The sequence below is a fragment of the Homo sapiens genome, chromosome 11 (assembly GCF_000001405.40).
Source record: "Homo sapiens chromosome 11, GRCh38.p14 Primary Assembly".
In the NCBI taxonomy this organism is placed as follows: Eukaryota; Metazoa; Chordata; class Mammalia; order Primates; family Hominidae; genus Homo; species Homo sapiens.
This window is the reverse complement of record NC_000011.10, coordinates 825,836-839,519: the sequence shown is the minus strand read 5'-3', so window position 1 is coordinate 839,519 and position 13,684 is coordinate 825,836. Positions and strand designations below refer to the sequence as shown.

At 65.1% G+C, this 13,684-nt stretch overlaps 2 protein-coding genes across 49 annotated transcripts, besides 14 other annotated features; both read right to left on the bottom strand.

The window, feature by feature from the left end:
* Positions 560-1,534: an enhancer, noted in NCBI's record as "H3K4me1 hESC enhancer chr11:837986-838960 (GRCh37/hg19 assembly coordinates)". NCBI's record gives its function as "activates a minimal SCP1, AML or CMV promoter by ChIP-STARR-seq in naive H9 embryonic stem cells {active_cell/tissue: H9 hESC(naive)}" and the evidence as "EXISTENCE:reporter gene assay evidence [ECO:0000049][PMID:30033119]".
* CD151 (CD151 molecule (Raph blood group)) lies at positions 689-6,568 on the bottom strand. Of its 5 annotated transcripts, none has more exons than NM_004357.5 (9): positions 6,494-6,568; positions 4,929-4,990; positions 3,367-3,457; positions 3,078-3,269; positions 2,677-2,751; positions 2,166-2,270; positions 1,902-2,060; positions 1,492-1,578; positions 689-1,387 (listed from the first exon to the last, which is right to left on the bottom strand). In NM_004357.5, exons 3-9 carry the CDS (start codon positions 3,448-3,450, stop codon positions 1,328-1,330), a joined length of 762 nt encoding a protein of 253 aa, NP_004348.2. In that variant the 5' UTR covers positions 3,451-3,457; positions 4,929-4,990; positions 6,494-6,568; the 3' UTR covers positions 689-1,327. The 5 variants fall into 5 exon arrangements, with proteins under 5 accessions (NP_004348.2, NP_620598.1, XP_024304548.1 ...); NM_139029.2 differs by having other exon boundaries at positions 6,498-6,568; XM_024448780.2 differs by lacking the exon at positions 6,494-6,568 and adding an exon at positions 5,453-5,527.
* Positions 4,632-5,171: an enhancer, noted in NCBI's record as "H3K27ac-H3K4me1 hESC enhancer chr11:834349-834888 (GRCh37/hg19 assembly coordinates)". NCBI's record gives its function as "activates a minimal SCP1, AML or CMV promoter by ChIP-STARR-seq in naive H9 embryonic stem cells {active_cell/tissue: H9 hESC(naive)}" and the evidence as "EXISTENCE:reporter gene assay evidence [ECO:0000049][PMID:30033119]".
* Positions 6,003-6,232: a silencer, noted in NCBI's record as "silent region_3041". NCBI's record gives its function as "represses an Ori minimal core promoter by ATAC-STARR-seq in GM12878 lymphoblastoid cells {active_cell/tissue: GM12878}" and the evidence as "EXISTENCE:reporter gene assay evidence [ECO:0000049][PMID:35858748]".
* Positions 6,243-6,892: a silencer, noted in NCBI's record as "silent region_3040". NCBI's record gives its function as "represses an Ori minimal core promoter by ATAC-STARR-seq in GM12878 lymphoblastoid cells {active_cell/tissue: GM12878}" and the evidence as "EXISTENCE:reporter gene assay evidence [ECO:0000049][PMID:35858748]".
* Positions 7,328-7,865: an enhancer, noted in NCBI's record as "H3K27ac-H3K4me1 hESC enhancer chr11:831655-832192 (GRCh37/hg19 assembly coordinates)". NCBI's record gives its function as "activates a minimal SCP1, AML or CMV promoter by ChIP-STARR-seq in naive H9 embryonic stem cells {active_cell/tissue: H9 hESC(naive)}" and the evidence as "EXISTENCE:reporter gene assay evidence [ECO:0000049][PMID:30033119]".
* CRACR2B (calcium release activated channel regulator 2B) lies at positions 7,529-13,363 on the bottom strand. 44 transcript variants are annotated; one of them, XM_047426812.1, is made up of 10 exons: positions 12,202-12,264; positions 10,748-11,260; positions 10,337-10,668; positions 9,980-10,160; positions 9,388-9,534; positions 9,183-9,270; positions 8,807-8,899; positions 8,488-8,654; positions 8,225-8,296; positions 7,529-7,985 (listed from the first exon to the last, which is right to left on the bottom strand). In XM_047426812.1, the coding sequence occupies exons 2-10, from the start codon at positions 10,882-10,884 to the stop codon at positions 7,811-7,813; spliced, it is 1,392 nt and encodes a 463-aa protein (XP_047282768.1). In that variant the 5' UTR covers positions 10,885-11,260; positions 12,202-12,264; the 3' UTR covers positions 7,529-7,810. The 44 variants fall into 44 exon arrangements, with proteins under 44 accessions (XP_047282768.1, XP_047282766.1, XP_047282779.1 ...); XM_047426810.1 differs by having other exon boundaries at positions 10,748-11,290; positions 12,061-12,224; XM_047426823.1 differs by having other exon boundaries at positions 10,557-10,668; positions 10,748-11,290; positions 12,061-12,224.
* Positions 7,866-8,405: an enhancer, noted in NCBI's record as "H3K27ac-H3K4me1 hESC enhancer chr11:831115-831654 (GRCh37/hg19 assembly coordinates)". NCBI's record gives its function as "activates a minimal SCP1, AML or CMV promoter by ChIP-STARR-seq in naive H9 embryonic stem cells {active_cell/tissue: H9 hESC(naive)}" and the evidence as "EXISTENCE:reporter gene assay evidence [ECO:0000049][PMID:30033119]".
* Positions 8,745-9,354: a silencer, noted in NCBI's record as "silent region_3039". NCBI's record gives its function as "represses an Ori minimal core promoter by ATAC-STARR-seq in GM12878 lymphoblastoid cells {active_cell/tissue: GM12878}" and the evidence as "EXISTENCE:reporter gene assay evidence [ECO:0000049][PMID:35858748]".
* Positions 9,484-10,021: an enhancer, noted in NCBI's record as "H3K27ac-H3K4me1 hESC enhancer chr11:829499-830036 (GRCh37/hg19 assembly coordinates)". NCBI's record gives its function as "activates a minimal SCP1, AML or CMV promoter by ChIP-STARR-seq in primed H9 embryonic stem cells {active_cell/tissue: H9 hESC(primed)}" and the evidence as "EXISTENCE:reporter gene assay evidence [ECO:0000049][PMID:30033119]".
* Positions 10,022-10,561: an enhancer, noted in NCBI's record as "H3K27ac-H3K4me1 hESC enhancer chr11:828959-829498 (GRCh37/hg19 assembly coordinates)". NCBI's record gives its function as "activates a minimal SCP1, AML or CMV promoter by ChIP-STARR-seq in naive H9 embryonic stem cells {active_cell/tissue: H9 hESC(naive)}" and the evidence as "EXISTENCE:reporter gene assay evidence [ECO:0000049][PMID:30033119]".
* Positions 10,562-11,099: an enhancer, noted in NCBI's record as "H3K27ac-H3K4me1 hESC enhancer chr11:828421-828958 (GRCh37/hg19 assembly coordinates)". NCBI's record gives its function as "activates a minimal SCP1, AML or CMV promoter by ChIP-STARR-seq in naive H9 embryonic stem cells {active_cell/tissue: H9 hESC(naive)}" and the evidence as "EXISTENCE:reporter gene assay evidence [ECO:0000049][PMID:30033119]".
* Positions 11,549-11,638: a silencer, noted in NCBI's record as "silent region_3038". NCBI's record gives its function as "represses an Ori minimal core promoter by ATAC-STARR-seq in GM12878 lymphoblastoid cells {active_cell/tissue: GM12878}" and the evidence as "EXISTENCE:reporter gene assay evidence [ECO:0000049][PMID:35858748]".
* Positions 11,640-12,178: an enhancer, noted in NCBI's record as "H3K27ac-H3K4me1 hESC enhancer chr11:827342-827880 (GRCh37/hg19 assembly coordinates)". NCBI's record gives its function as "activates a minimal SCP1, AML or CMV promoter by ChIP-STARR-seq in naive H9 embryonic stem cells {active_cell/tissue: H9 hESC(naive)}" and the evidence as "EXISTENCE:reporter gene assay evidence [ECO:0000049][PMID:30033119]".
* Positions 11,640-12,498: a biological region, named in NCBI's record as "H3K27ac-H3K4me1 hESC enhancer GRCh37_chr11:827342-827880".
* Positions 11,879-12,498: a silencer, noted in NCBI's record as "silent region_3037". NCBI's record gives its function as "represses an Ori minimal core promoter by ATAC-STARR-seq in GM12878 lymphoblastoid cells {active_cell/tissue: GM12878}" and the evidence as "EXISTENCE:reporter gene assay evidence [ECO:0000049][PMID:35858748]".

The following is a 13,684-nucleotide window of genomic DNA, read 5'->3' as shown; positions in this document are numbered from 1 at the left end:
TTAAGACGCTCCTAGCTGGGTTGGGAGGTGGCCCTAAGGAGGCCCTGCTGTCCAGGCAGTGCTGCCAGCAAGCACCCCAGGTCAGATGTCCCTGCTGCCCAGATATCTGGCGTGGTGTCCTCTGGTAGGGGAGAACGGGTCTGCCTGAGGGTCTACAGTTCTGAGCCTTAAGGACAGGAACCTGGGCAGTGGGGGGCACAATCAGTGACCGAGCCCTGGCTCCCATCTCCAGGGTACCTCTGCCAGACACCAGGCTCTGGTACCTCCTACCCTCTGGCCCCCAGCAGGGCCTATAGGCTCCTCCATGTAAACCCCCTCACCCTACTGCCCCCACCCCACCTGCCTGACACCTCTTACCTGGGCACGGCCCCCAGTCTGCACCCTTCCCACGTCTGCTCCCCACCATGGCCAGAAGGGTTTTGGAAACCATTTTTCCTCTCCCCCAGGGGCTCTGAACACACCATCTCACCATTTAGGAACATGTTCAGTTCTTTCTGCTGAGGCCTGTGCTCAGCTGTCCCTGGCATCAGACCTCCCTTCCCTGGAGCCCCATGGGGGGTGTGTCCTCCTGGCTCTGCCCTTCTTTGTCCTGACACTGGGCGGGGCGGGGGTGGGTCTGTCTGCCCTGCTGGATGCGAGGGCCCTGAGAACAGACCACCATCTGTTACCAGCACAGCGAGCTCGTCCATCTGCTCTACAAGTGTTTATTGAGCACCTGTATGTGGCAGGGATGGTTGTAGGCATCTGGGTACAGCAGTGAACAAAACCAGGAAGGCCCTGCCCCGCAGAGGCACATGAACAGGGCAGTGCACAGTGACCACGTGGCATTTCGGGTGGTGGTGACTGCGGTGGGGAAGACAGCAGGGGCGCTGTCGAGGGAGACGAGGGCTGGGTTGGGAGGGGCAGAGGCCCAGGCCCAAGGGTCAGAGCTCACCTGGCTTCCCCAACTGGGATGGGGCCATGTGGCTGCAAGGCAAGGCCCCAGTTCCTGAAGGGCCTGGGGTGTGAAGGGTTTCTCCCCCTGCTGGGAACGCTCGGCCTTGCGCCACTCAGCAAGGCCCCTTCCAACCTGCATCTGACCACCAGGCAGAGAGTGTGTCTGGGGAGCCCCACAAAACACCCCCCAAACTTCGCCCCGCCAGCCCCCCTCACCTCCCCTGCTGGGCATTGGTGCGCAGCAAAAGGCACTTGAAGCTGCCTCTGAGGTTGGGGTCCCCAGAGGTTATGGTGATGGCACAGGGTGGGTGTCATCAGGGAGCCCAGCCCCTGGTACTCAGTGGTCTCAGCTCAGTAGTTGGGTGCAGCAGCAGCAAGGCCCAAGGCAGGGTCAGTAGTGCTCCAGCTTGAGACTCCTGTACAGGCAGCACGTGAAGATCATGCCAAAGACCTGTGTGCAGAGCCGGGTGGGCGTAAGCAGACGTCATGGGGCCACCAGCCACCGCCCTGCCCCGTGTCCCCAACAAGATGACCGCCACCCCCATGTGCCCTCACCTGCACACAGGCAATGCCGATCCCCACAGCCCCAATGACCCTCAGGTGCTCCTGGATGAAGGTCTCCAACTTGGTGATGCAGCCGCCCTGCGGGGCGCGGATGGGTGTTGAAGGCGGGCCCAGGGGGCACCTCCCACTGGCCCCTACTGCCTCCAGCCTCCAGGGTGTGGCCAAACCCACCCCTAGCACCTAGGCAGCCAGGCCACCAACAGCTCAGCCAGCCACTGGGCTGCCCACCCACTTCCTCGTAGATATTGGAGGTGTGGTCTCACTGCCCACATCCGGCCACTGGGGTGACCCCCCACCTCCTGGTAGATATTGGAGGCGTGTCCCACTGCCCACAGCCAGTCACTGGGGTGCCCCCCCACCACCTCGTAGACACTGGAGGCATGATCCCGCTGCACACCCACCTCCACCTTGTAGATGTTGGAGGCATGGTCTCGCTGCCCACAAAGAGCCACCACCGTCTTGCAGCAGCTGTCTGGGACCACACGGCCACCGGCCTCCTGTGAGCGGATCCACTCACTGTCTCGCCAGTCCTGTGAGTTGTTGCTGCCACAGCAGTGGAACTGCATCAAGAACAAGGCTGGGGTTGAGACCTGGGGCCAGAGGCTCCTGCAGAGGTCCAGGGAGGCCCTGGGGATGCACGCGCCCTCCCAGCACCACCCACCCACCTCCTGCTGCAGCTGGTCCACAGCGCTGGTCACAGCCTCATGGCCCGGCTGGTGGTAGCGCTTGGTCATGGTGTCCTTCAGGTTCTCCTTGAGCTCCGTGTTCAGCTGGGGTTGGGGTGCAGGAAACTTCAGCCTCAGTCTAAGACCTTCCAAGGTGGGGCTGGCAGAGCCCCAGGATGGCCGGTGGGGAGGCCCGGGGCCCAGCTCAGAGCCACAGGGAAGGGCTGAGGTCACACCTCGGCATGAGGGGAGGTTGGGTGGTGCCAGGACCGTCACCAGGGTGACAATGAAGTGCGGCAGAGGCAGAGAGAGCTTCTGGATCCCCTGGACACCTGCCTGACCCCATGTGCCCCTGCAGAGACCTAGACCCCATCTCCAGGGCCCAGTGGCACATTGGTTAGCTCTGGGACCATGGGGGTGGGGGTTGGGGCTAGCCACGCGTGTGCATGTGTGTGTGTCCGCCCCGCCTGTGCATGTCTGTGTCTCTGAATGGCCTGCCCAGGCCCCTCACCTGCTGGTAGTAGGCGTAGGCGAGGATACCAGCGATGATCTCCAGCAGAAAGATGATGAGGAGCAGGATGAAGTACTGGGGGGGGCAGCACAAGGGCACCCTTGTTCTGAGGCCTAGTGCCTAGACCTAGTGCACCTCAGAGCAGAGTCCCCACCCCGGCTCCCCAGGCTCCAGGTGGGGGCTGAGGGGCGGCCACCCTCCCTGAAGCTTTCTTGCGGAGCTGGTGTCTTCCCTCAGCTGGTCCAGCAGGAACGTGGGGACCCACAGGACTAGGCAGGTGTGGAAGGACCGTGACCCCCCCCCCAGGTGAGCACAGCAAGGCACAGGTTCAAAGCCTGCAGCGACAACCTCCTTGGGCCCATCTGCACCACCCCCACCCCGTGGCCCTGCGCCCTCCTGACCAGGCGCAGCAGGTTCCGACGCTCCTTGAAGGTGGCGCAGCAGCCCAAGACCCCAGTCACCATGACGACAGTGCCCGCCACCACCAGGATGTAGGCTGTGGCCAGGTAGGTGCCTGAGGCCAGCAGGCTGATGTAGTCACTCTTGAGGGCCAGCGTCCAGATGCCCACTGCCATGACAGCCAGGCCAGCCAGCTACAAGCAGTACACAAAGGTCATCGCATCTGCCCAGGTCTGATGGTGGCCCGGGAGGGGTGGGGGTGGGGGTGGGGGCAAGGCGACCCCTCCTCACCCAGAAGCAGCAATTGTAGGTAAACAGCAGGTACTTGAGGCAAACGGTGCCACATGTTGTCTTCTTCTCGTTGAACTCACCCATCCTGGGGCTGAGGAGGCAGGGGAGGGGTCAGCGGGGCCACAGCACCGGGCCCCTGACTGGGAGACGGATAGGAGGGGACACAGGGCCAGGCGCGGTGGCTCACGCCTGTAATCCCAGCACTTTGGGGGGCCAAGGCAGGCAGATCACAAGGTCAGGAGATCAAGACCATCCTGGCTAACACGGTGAAACCCCGTCTGTACTAGAAATACAAAAAATTAGCCGGGCGTGGTGGCGGGCGCCTGTAGTCCCAGCTACTTGGGAGGCTGAGGCAGGAGAATGGCGTGAACCCGGGAGGCGAAGCTTGCAGTGAGCCGAGATGGTGCCACTGCACTCCAGCCTGGGCGACAGAGTGAGACTCCATCTCAAAATAAATAAATAAATAATAAAAAGAGACTAGCAAATTAACCCAAAGAAAGTAGAGGAAAGGAGTCCAGGTGCGGTGTCTCATGCCTATAATGCCAGCACTTTGGGAGGCCAAGGCAGGTGCAATCACTTGAGGTCGGGAGTTCACAACCAGCCTGGCCATTGTGGTGAAACCCCATCTCCATCAAAAATATACAAAAATTAACTGGGCGTGATGGTGGGCGCCTGTGGTCCCAGCTACTTGGGAGGCTGAGGCAGGAGAATGGCATGAACCCGGGAGGCGGAGCTTGCAGTGAGCCGAGATGGTGCCACTGCACTCCAGGCTGGGCGACAGTGAGACTCCATCTCAATAAAAAAGAAAAAAAAGAGGGGACACAGATACCCAAGCCAGCCCAGAAGTCGGGGCAGAGCCAGCCACTGTCCTGGGAGGCCTGTGAATGAGCCCCTGTGGGAACAGGACGTGTCACTTCCTAGCGACTCAGGAGCCCTGACAGCCAGGACAGACCCCTGGTGCCCACAGACAGGACAGGGGTCATGGAGGACCTCCCGCCATCACTGCTGACTCACCCCTGCTAGCGGCCGGGGGAGGAAGCCCTAGCGGGTACCTCCGGTGAGCTCATGCCAGCCTGCCCGCTCCCCACGGCATTCCCGGGGCCGCACGTCACAGGCTGGCAGGAGCCTATGGGCCTGCAGTAAGGGCGGAGGAGGCCACTCAGACAGCAGAGGGGTAGGGGCTCAGACAGGCCCCAGCTCAGCCCCTTCCTAAGCTCTCCAGGCCTGTTTACGGTCTGTTAAAGGGCAGCCCTTCCTTCATCCTGGCCGGGGTGGGGAGAATGGAGCGTGGAGGCAGGTGGAGCCTGGCAGACTGGGAGGGTTTTTCCTGGACAGGCGACCCACACCAACCTGAGGGGGCAGCACAGACAGGCTATGCCCCTCCCCAGATGCCCCGTGCCCGCCCGACCTGCAGCAGTGGGCAAGCTGTGAGCATGGGGAAGCCAGGGAGGGCGTGGGGTGCAGACAGCAGCTGAGCGCCCTGGGCCACGTTTCCAGACAGCACAGCCAGGTCTGGACTTTCGCCGCCCCGCCTGCTCTGCCCCACCCTGGCCAGCACTCACCAGCCGGGCTGGAAACGACTCCTCTGCAGGACAGGTGGACAGAAGCTCCCCAGGACTCTAGGCTAGAGGGGCAAGGACATGTCAGGTCACAGGTTACAGGTCTGGCCCAAGGGCCAGAGTGGGCCGGGTTCATTCTGGAGGCAGAGAGAGGAGTGGCCAAGCCCGGTATTTTAGTCTGGGCTAGGGTGGGGCAAGGCACAAGACATTTTGTTTTTTTCTTTTTTTCTTTTTTTGAGATGGAGTTTCGCTCTGTCACCCAGGCTGGAGTGCAATGGCACGATCTCAGCTCACTGCAACCTCCGCCTCCTGAGTTCAAGCAATTCTCCTGCCTCAGCCTCCTGAGTCACTGGGATTACAGGCACCCACCACCACGCCCAGCTAATGTTTGTATTTTTAGTACAGACAGAGTTTCACCATGTGGACCAGGCTGGTCTCGAACTCCTGACCTTAGATGTTCCACCCGCCTTGGCCTCCCAAGGCAGACGACATTTCGGGACAGTCTGATCCTGGGAGGGACCTCATACCTTCCCCCAGGTGCCCCACTCTTGGCCTTCGCTCCAGACCCATCACTGGCCCTTCCCCCACAAACAGCGGCAGCTACAGCCTGGGAAAGAGGCATCATGGAATGGAGCTGGAGGGGGACAGACCTTACCACTGAGCTGAGAGGGGATATTCACCCTCCATGAAGGAGCCAGGGCCTAAATACACGCAGGAAGGGTGGCACAGGCAGACCCTGCCACCAGCGGGGGGATGTGTCTGCCACCGGGGGGCGGGGTGTGCGTCTGCCACCGATGGGGGGATGTGTGAGCCCCTCAAGGACCTGCCCCTGGCCTGGCTGTAAGGTCCCAGGCTTTCTGGAGAAGTTGGTTCTGGGCACAGATGCGTCCTCCACCGCGAGGACACAGGCGACCCGCTGAGGAGTGGCCCCTCTTCCCAGGAATGCCTGGTCCCTCTGGACCCCCTGGGAAAGGGCCTTCCAGAAATAGTTGTCTGTTCCTCCCCAAGTCCCCGGGACCTGCACCAGGCCCCTGGGCGGCCCGCGCCCTATCAGGGGGAGCCCCAGTCAGGGGGACCTGGGACTCCGCGCCTGCCAAGCGTCCCCGGGGCACTGCAATGAGGTCACCGCCGCCGCCGACCCCGCCCGGCGCGGCCAATGGCGCGCCCACTTGCACGCGGGCGGGGGCTGCTGCGGGCGGAGGGAAGACTGCCGTGTCCAGGGACAATGAGCAGGGTGTCCAGGCTGCGCGTCCCGGGACCCCTGGGCTGAAGGGGGCCGTCAGGCCGGTCCAAGGGCCCGGGAGGCGCCTCTCCTTCCCGCTGCGCCTCCCCAACCCGCCCGGAGTCCGCCTCCCGCGGAAGGGCAGGCGAGGGAGCTGGGGCAGGCGAGGGAGCTGGGCCAGGCGGTGGGTGCGGCCTCCCGGAACCTCCCGGCGCCTGCGGCTGGGCCTCCGGGGCTGGGGCGCGCAGGGCCTTCGGCCCCCTCGCGCCCCTCGCCCCCCTCGCGCCCCTCGCCCCCCTCGCCCCGCTCGCCCCGCTCGGCCGAGCTGTCGTGGCCGCGCACTCACCTACCACGCGTCCGAGTCCGGGCCCTGGCGGCGGCGGCAGCAGCTGCGGGGGCGGCGGCTCCCAGCGCTGAGAATGCGCGGCCCGGAGCCTACGAGGGGGACGCCCCGCCCCGCCCCGCCCCGGCCCCGCCCCGGCCTCAAGCCCCTCCCGCGGCGGCGGGCGCTCGGCAGGTCTGAACCCGCGTGGGTGTAGGCGCTGGGGGTCGACCTGGCACTGCGGAGGCCGGGCGAGCTGCAGCCCTGGGGGCGCCAATAGCCCAGCAAGGGCCCATCCCGTCCAAGGACGGAGGAGCTGGGCGGGAGGCGGGCCCGGAGGTAAGACGGCGACCAGCCTAGCCAGAGGCCCTGGGCTGTGGCGACCCGGCCCTCCTCCATGCCCAACCCCCATCTCTTTCTCCTCACCCAGGAACCGCCCAGAGGCTGCAGGGGTCGGCAGAACCGATGCCGGCCTGGGGCGTGGGAGGGCCTAGCGCTGTGGGCAAATGCGGGAGAAGGGCTACTGTACGTGCAGTGTGGACAGCCTGGAGACCCGGGCAGGCCTGGGGTCCCAGCGAGACATACCCATGGGGTCCTGGGGGGCCCATGCCCTCCAGACTGGAAGGGACCACTGGGAGCGGTGCGAGGAGGTGAGGGACGAAGGGCAGGGCCGGCCTAGGGCTGCACCAAGACGCCAAGAGTGGGAGTGAGGAAGGAGGGGGCTGCCCACCCACCAAGCTCATTCATCACAGCCACAGGGGAGGACCAGCATGGGAGGGGGTGGCCGACTGAGGCCGGGAACCTGCCCGGCCTCCCTGGCGAGACAGTGGGGAGCCCTGATCCACACACTGGCGAGGGCCCCGAGGGGCTCCAGCCTTGATGGGTAGTGTGAGTTTGGGGCATGACCAGGGACACAAGAGGACACGCAGGACCTCAGCCCCATCGCCACAGGCCCGCGCTCCCTGTATTCACCCACACAGCACGCGTGCACAGGTGCCCACCTCATCCATGTGGCACACACAGGCTGTGGCTCCCAGACACACGGAAGGCCCAGGAGGACGCAGTGCAGTCAGTGGGTTTTATTTGACGAGGGGGTTTTCTGCTGAACTGAGATGGGGTTGATTGAACGGGGACAGAGCGAAGACTGGCAGAGGGCACACACGGGACCCTGGCCACTCCCGGGACCCTGACCACTCCTAGGCTAGGTCCTTCATGTCTTCAGTCAGGCGAGCCTGGGGCCCACTGGGGAGAGCCTGCATCCTGAGTGGGCACCCCCGACCCATGACAAGCCTCCTGCAAGGGCAGCTTCTAGCTCATGGTCCGTGAGTCACTCGGGGCTGGTCACCGGGCACTGGGAAGGTGGCCAGAGCCGCGTCTGGGGGGCCGAGCCCAGCAACAGCAGCAGCAGCAGGTGGGCCCAGGCAGGCGGGCTGTTGTCAGAGCCTTCCTGCAGCTGCTGCCCGCCCGCCTGGCCTCGCAGGCGTCCCTGTCATCCCGCAGCCGTGTATTCAGCTCCCTAGGGAAGGAGGAGTCCGACACTGAGAGGGTCTGAGGGAGCTCAAGGTGGGGGGAGGTGAGCTCCGACTCCCCTCAGAGCGAAGAGAGGTGTCTGGCTGAGGCTGCAGCGTGAGGGGTGAAAGGCAGGCATAAGGAAGGACTTCCAATGGAGTAGAGCGGCAGCCAAGAATGTTGGGGAGCTGGGAGCCCCCAAGCTCCGCTGAGCCCATTCCCTCTCGGGCCTGAGCCTGACCGTACCTGAGCAGCTCCAGTTGCCGTAGCAGGCTGACTTTCTCTTTCTGCATGTTCCTGGAGACGGCGACCACGTCTCTGTGGATGGGAGGTGGTGACCCGGCTGCAGGAAGGCTCCTTGGGGAGCCCCCGGACCCCCTAGAAGATCCTCCTTCCCACGGGGCGGGCCTGGGACTTGAGATGGGGATGAAAGTGGCCCAGACCTGAGCGCCCGTCGGCCCCGCCCCCGGGACACGCACCGGGGCCCGCCCAGCCCCGTCCCACGGCACCGTTGGGTTTGCTCCTGGCGGCCTCGTGCTTCGCTCTCCAGCCTGCGGATCTGCTCCTGCGCCCCCTCCAGCTGCGTTCGCAGCGCCTCGTGCGCCCGCCACAGCTGGGAGTTCTGGGCCTGTGCCTCCAGGTGCTCCGCAGCCTGGGCGTGCAGCTGCTGCTCTAACTGGAGGGTGGAAGGATGGAGACCGGCGAGGAACGCCCCCTCTTCCCCGGGGTGCTGCGCGTGCCCCAGGCTCCCGACAACCCGGGGACGCTAAGGCACAGGGGGAGAGTGCACGGGTGACCGTGGGGACAGGGCAGGGGCCGGGTGCTCACCTCCCGCTGCCGCAGGCCCGCGCGTTCCAGGTCCTGCTCGCGGCTCTGCAGCTCCAGCTCCAGACGGCTTCTCCGCTCCCCGCGGGCGAAGTTCTGGGACGCACGGAGGACCACTGAGCCTCCGCCGGCCGCTCGGCCATGCAAAAGAGGTACACGGAGGGCCAGGGGCTGGGAGTGGGCCCGGGCGGAGCGGGGTCGGGTGGAGAAGACCGGACGGGGGTGATACGTGAGGCCCAGTGGGATCTCCTCGGGCTGAGGGCAGCCTGGACCCGCGGAGGTGGGGCCGTCGGGGAGGGATTAATTCAGAGAAGGCGGAGCCAGGGAGGCCAGCGAGGTGGGATTGGGCCTGGCGGGAGGGGCGGGGCCCGAGGCCCACCTGACTCGGCGGGCGCCGGCTCTGCTCCCGAAGCTGCTCCGTCTCCTCGTACAGAGCGCGCACCTCCCTCTCGTGCTCGCTCTCGCGCCTTCGGGGGACCGGGCGACCCCGGATGAGAACTTGCCAGCGCTACAGCCCCCTGGCACCGCCTCTGCTGCTGCCCTGAGGCCCTCCATTGGCCCCCATACCCCACCCCGGCCCTCACCTCCGCAGCGCCTGCTCCAGGCCGTCGCGCTCCCGGGCCGCCTCCTCCAGGCAGGCCGACGCGCGTATCAGAACATCCTCGAAAGAGCCCAGCAGCTCGGGGCGCTCGCGCTGCAGCCTGGCCCAGAGCGTCCTCACAGCCCGCTGCCTGGAGGGCGGGCGGGAACTGAGGCTGGAGCTGGCAGAAGCGGGAAGCAGGCTTCCCTCCGCCAGCAGCAAACCCTTAGGAGACTTCTTCGCCCCTGGGCAGGACAGGAGCACTTGCTGCGTGCAGGGCATCCCTCCCGTGAGCGCTTTCGCCCCTGCCCGGCGTGCGTGGTCGGTGAGGTGTGTGTACCCTGGGCAGTGCCGGTATGTGGCCCCGCGCCCGGCGCTGCCCCTCCTCCCTGCAGCCCTGGCTGCTGCCTCATGAAATGCAAATTCTGCGGGAAATCATGCCGGGTCCCTCCCAGGGAATCGCAGCTGACGCTAGGCTGGGCCTGACCCGGCCTAGAGACCCTGTGCAGAACCAGCACTCGGGTGACAAGGGCAGACAGCATGCAGGCAGAGAAACAGCAGAGCGGGCAGTGGGAGCGGGGCCAGCGCCGACTCACTTGCCCAGGACCGGGGCCACCCCCAGCTGCTCCAGCACAGTGTGGAATCGCTCCTCCTCTTCCTCCTCCTCATCCAGAGAGCCCGCCGTGCCCTGCACGTCGAGCCCGCCCGACTCAAAGGTCTCCTCGGGAGTCCTGCAGGGGTTCGCTCCCTGGGCTGACGCCACCCCCACAAACATCCCTGCGGGCATGGAGCGAGCGATTACCAGGGCTGTGGGTCGCCACCGTGGCTGTGTCCCCGTTCACCCTCCCAACGAGTATCCTGCCCTCTCTCAGGGCCCAGTTTCCTGTTTTCCTTCCTTATTCTGGTCCTATTGGCCTGGAAACAAGAGGTGACAGGCCAGCTCCCAGCCCTACCGGAGCTTAGCACAGGAGAGGAGCTGGGGGCCAGGAAGGTCAGCTCCACACACTCCACCGCAGCTAGGAGCCCCCAGGCGCGAGTGCGTGCAGACAAAGCACGGGCCCTGGAGGGAGGAGGACGAGAGGCACCGGCAGCCCTCAGGGCGCCACAAGTGCCAGGCCTCCTGATCAGGCCTCCAGCTCTGGGCAGTGGGGGATAGGCAGGCCACAGGCTCACCCAGGCCCAGGCAGAACTCCCTGGCGGTGAGGAAGCCAGTGTGAGCCCGGTCCAGACTTTCAAACACAGCCTCCAGCTGCTCTGGCGTGAGGGGCAGGTCGCTCTGGAGACCCTGGTCGGGGAAGGAGAGCAGAGATGAGCCGCTGCGGTCAACCCAGGGCCGAAGCAGTCTCTTGGGGTGGGGGACTCACCTGCAGGTCGTGCTTGGTGATGAAGCCCTTAGCCTCCTTGTCACACAGCAGAAACAGCTCCTCAGCCTGCTCCAGTATTGCAGCCCGCGGCCCTGCAGAGCCCCCCTCGAGTTCCCCCTCCTCCTCCTGGGCCTCATCAGCCCCAGGCTTTCCAGGGCTGGCCATGAGAGCAGGGGGCCTCAGCCTGGCCTTCAGGTGCTGTGAAGCCAAGGGAGGGTCAGAAGAAATTCAGGAGGGGAGCGGATGGGGTGCAAGTGTGTCTGAAGGCTCAGCCGAGGGCCCTCCCTGCAGCAGGTGGGAAGGTGGGCGGAAGGCAAGGTGGGACCAGGGGGCTGGGGGTGGAAAATGCTGCAGGCTTGGGGTGTCACTGGGGTGGTTGATGTAGGCTCAGGGCCTGTGGGTACTGCCCCAGTGGGTCTGGCATCTCAGGAGGCTGGAACCCAGGAGGGGCTGCCAACTTCAGGAGAGGAGGAGCTGGAGGTGATGGCAATCTCAGGGGCCAGTGGAGAAGACCTGGTGATAAGGAAGGTGGGGTCCTGAAAGCTGAGAGGAGCAGGCTTGGGGTCAGTGAGGGAGGAGCCCCTCACACTCTGCAACTGGAGATCTGATCCCAAGTGAGGGCTCAGCCAGTCCTGACCAAGTCCTTAGCCCCTGGCCTGGGCCTGTGTGGCCCAGCCTCATGACAGCTGGCAGGCAGGGCAGACTTCTCCCTCCTGCCCACCGGCCCCTCCCTCCCCACAACTGAGCCCACAGAGTGCAGGGGCAAGGTCCCAGCCTGCAGAGCCCTTCGCCTCTGACGCCCCACTCAGGAACACTTCCAGATTCGAGACCTAACACCCTTGCCCCACAACACTGAGGCCCTTCCCCGTTTCAGAACTCCCTGGGGCCTCCCTTCCCACCTCCTTGCAGGGACGCCCCGCCCCCTAACCAGAGCCACCTGTCCTTCACACAATGTCCTGATCCCGGATTTCCCAAAGCTGCTCCCCACCAACACCCGCCTTCCCCCACCGGGGAGCTGGGATCCTCTCCCCTCACTCTCCACCCAGCGTCCTTCCATGTTCCTTAGCCCGGGCGACCTCCAAAGAGGGCAAGTCTGGGCGGGTGAGAGAAGGGGACACGAGAGGCCAGGGCCATTGCCTCCAGGCCACGTTGTTGTCTCGCCCGCCCTCCGGCTTGCCGGCTAGACCTGAGGTCCACCCCAGCCGGAAGCCGCGCGGCAGCAGGGCCCCAGGGAGGTGGGAGGATGGGCTGGTGGGGTGGGGCGGCCAGCCTCCTGTGCTCCCCGAAACTCTGGGGGACAACCCCGCCCTTACCCCTGCCGCCTTGCGCCCCGAGGGGGTAACCGGAGTTCCCGACCGAGACGCTCAGGTTTGGCGCGGGCCACGGCGGCCCGGAGGGGGTGCCGGGCGGGCGGCAGTGGAGGGGCCTCAGCGGCGGGACCAGCGGTCGCCTACCCGCGAGTTGCGCCGCCGCACCTGCCGCGCGCCCGGGCCGCTCCTCCCGGAAACACTGGGCGCGCCCCGCCCCAGCTGGGACCCGGACGGGACGTAGAGGGCACTGGGCCCCGAGCGACCCCTGCCGCTTCGCAGGCACCGAGACCCCCGCTTGGGCCGGCCCCGGGAGGAGCCACTCTGCGCCGCTGTCGCCTGTCCCCGCCTCTCTGCGCTGCCCCGGCGGCCCGATCCCTGGAGGCTCGAGCGAGCAGTGAAGCAACGATATGCCCCAGAGACCCAGGGACCCCCCGGAGCAGGGACAAGGCTGCGGGGGGCGGGCGCAGACACCAGCGCCTGGGAGGGGCCCCTCCTGTCCGGGGGGAGCCCGACTTAAGGCGCCAAAAAGTGTGTGTAGGAAAAAGCCGGGCAGGAAACAGACCAAATACTTTCAGCGGTTATCTCTAGGGGTGGGGAGCCTTTACTTTCTTCTCTATACTTTCCCGGTTTTTAAACAATAAACATGTAGGCCGGGCGCCTGTAATCCCAGCACTTTGGGGGGCTGAGACAGGGGCAGATCACCTGAGGTCAGGAGTTCGAGACCAGCCTGCCCAACATGGCGAAACCCCGTCTCTACTAAAAATACAAAAAATTAGCCAGGTGTGGTGGTGGGCGCCTGTAATCCCAGCACTTTGGGAGGCTGAGCCAGGAGAATCACTTGAACTCGGGAGGCAGAGTTTGCAGTGAGCCGAGATTGTGCCATTGCACTGGGCAACAAGAACGAAACTCCATCTCAAAACAAAACAATGAACGTGTAATGCTAGAAAATGTTTAACTTAGCAGTATTCAGTGTATATGTATGGGTGAACGAGCTGGGGACTCAGGCAGGTCCCACCTCAGTAGCCCCTCCTGGCTCTCCTTCTGGGGCCCAGCCCTGACTGGGGCTCCCCTTGGGGGAGGATTGGAAGGAGGAGCTGCTTGAGGCCCGAGTGAAACCCTCCTGTGGGGGGAGAAAATTCCACCCCAGACCGAGGAGCCCTCCCCAGCCCCAGCCCCAGCCTGGCCCCTGCACCCACCTGAAGGGCTGGAATCACTGTCCCGCCCGGCAACCCTGGGGGGTACAAGGCCTCTGCTTTTCAAGGAAGGGGCCTGGGATCCAGCGTGCGACCCAGCTGAACCACAAAAGGCTGGGCTTATAGGACAGGACCTTGAGACCAAGGGGGGTGGCCTCTGGCACAGGCACATCAGGGACCTGCCTGGCCGGCTCGCCCAGTCCCAGATCCCAGAACCAACCGTTATTGTTGGCAGGGGGCTGCCACCACAGCCACCCCACGCCTTCTGGGAGGAGCAGGTGGGGGCTGGCTCCAGCACCCTCAGGCCATGGGGCCTTTTTGGTTGCCAAGGAGGGCTGGCCTTCTCCCCTCATGGCCTCCCTGCCATGAAGAGGATGCCCTCAGGAAACCACTTCCCCAGCACAGGGCTGAGTCCCCTTCAGCTAGGACCTCAC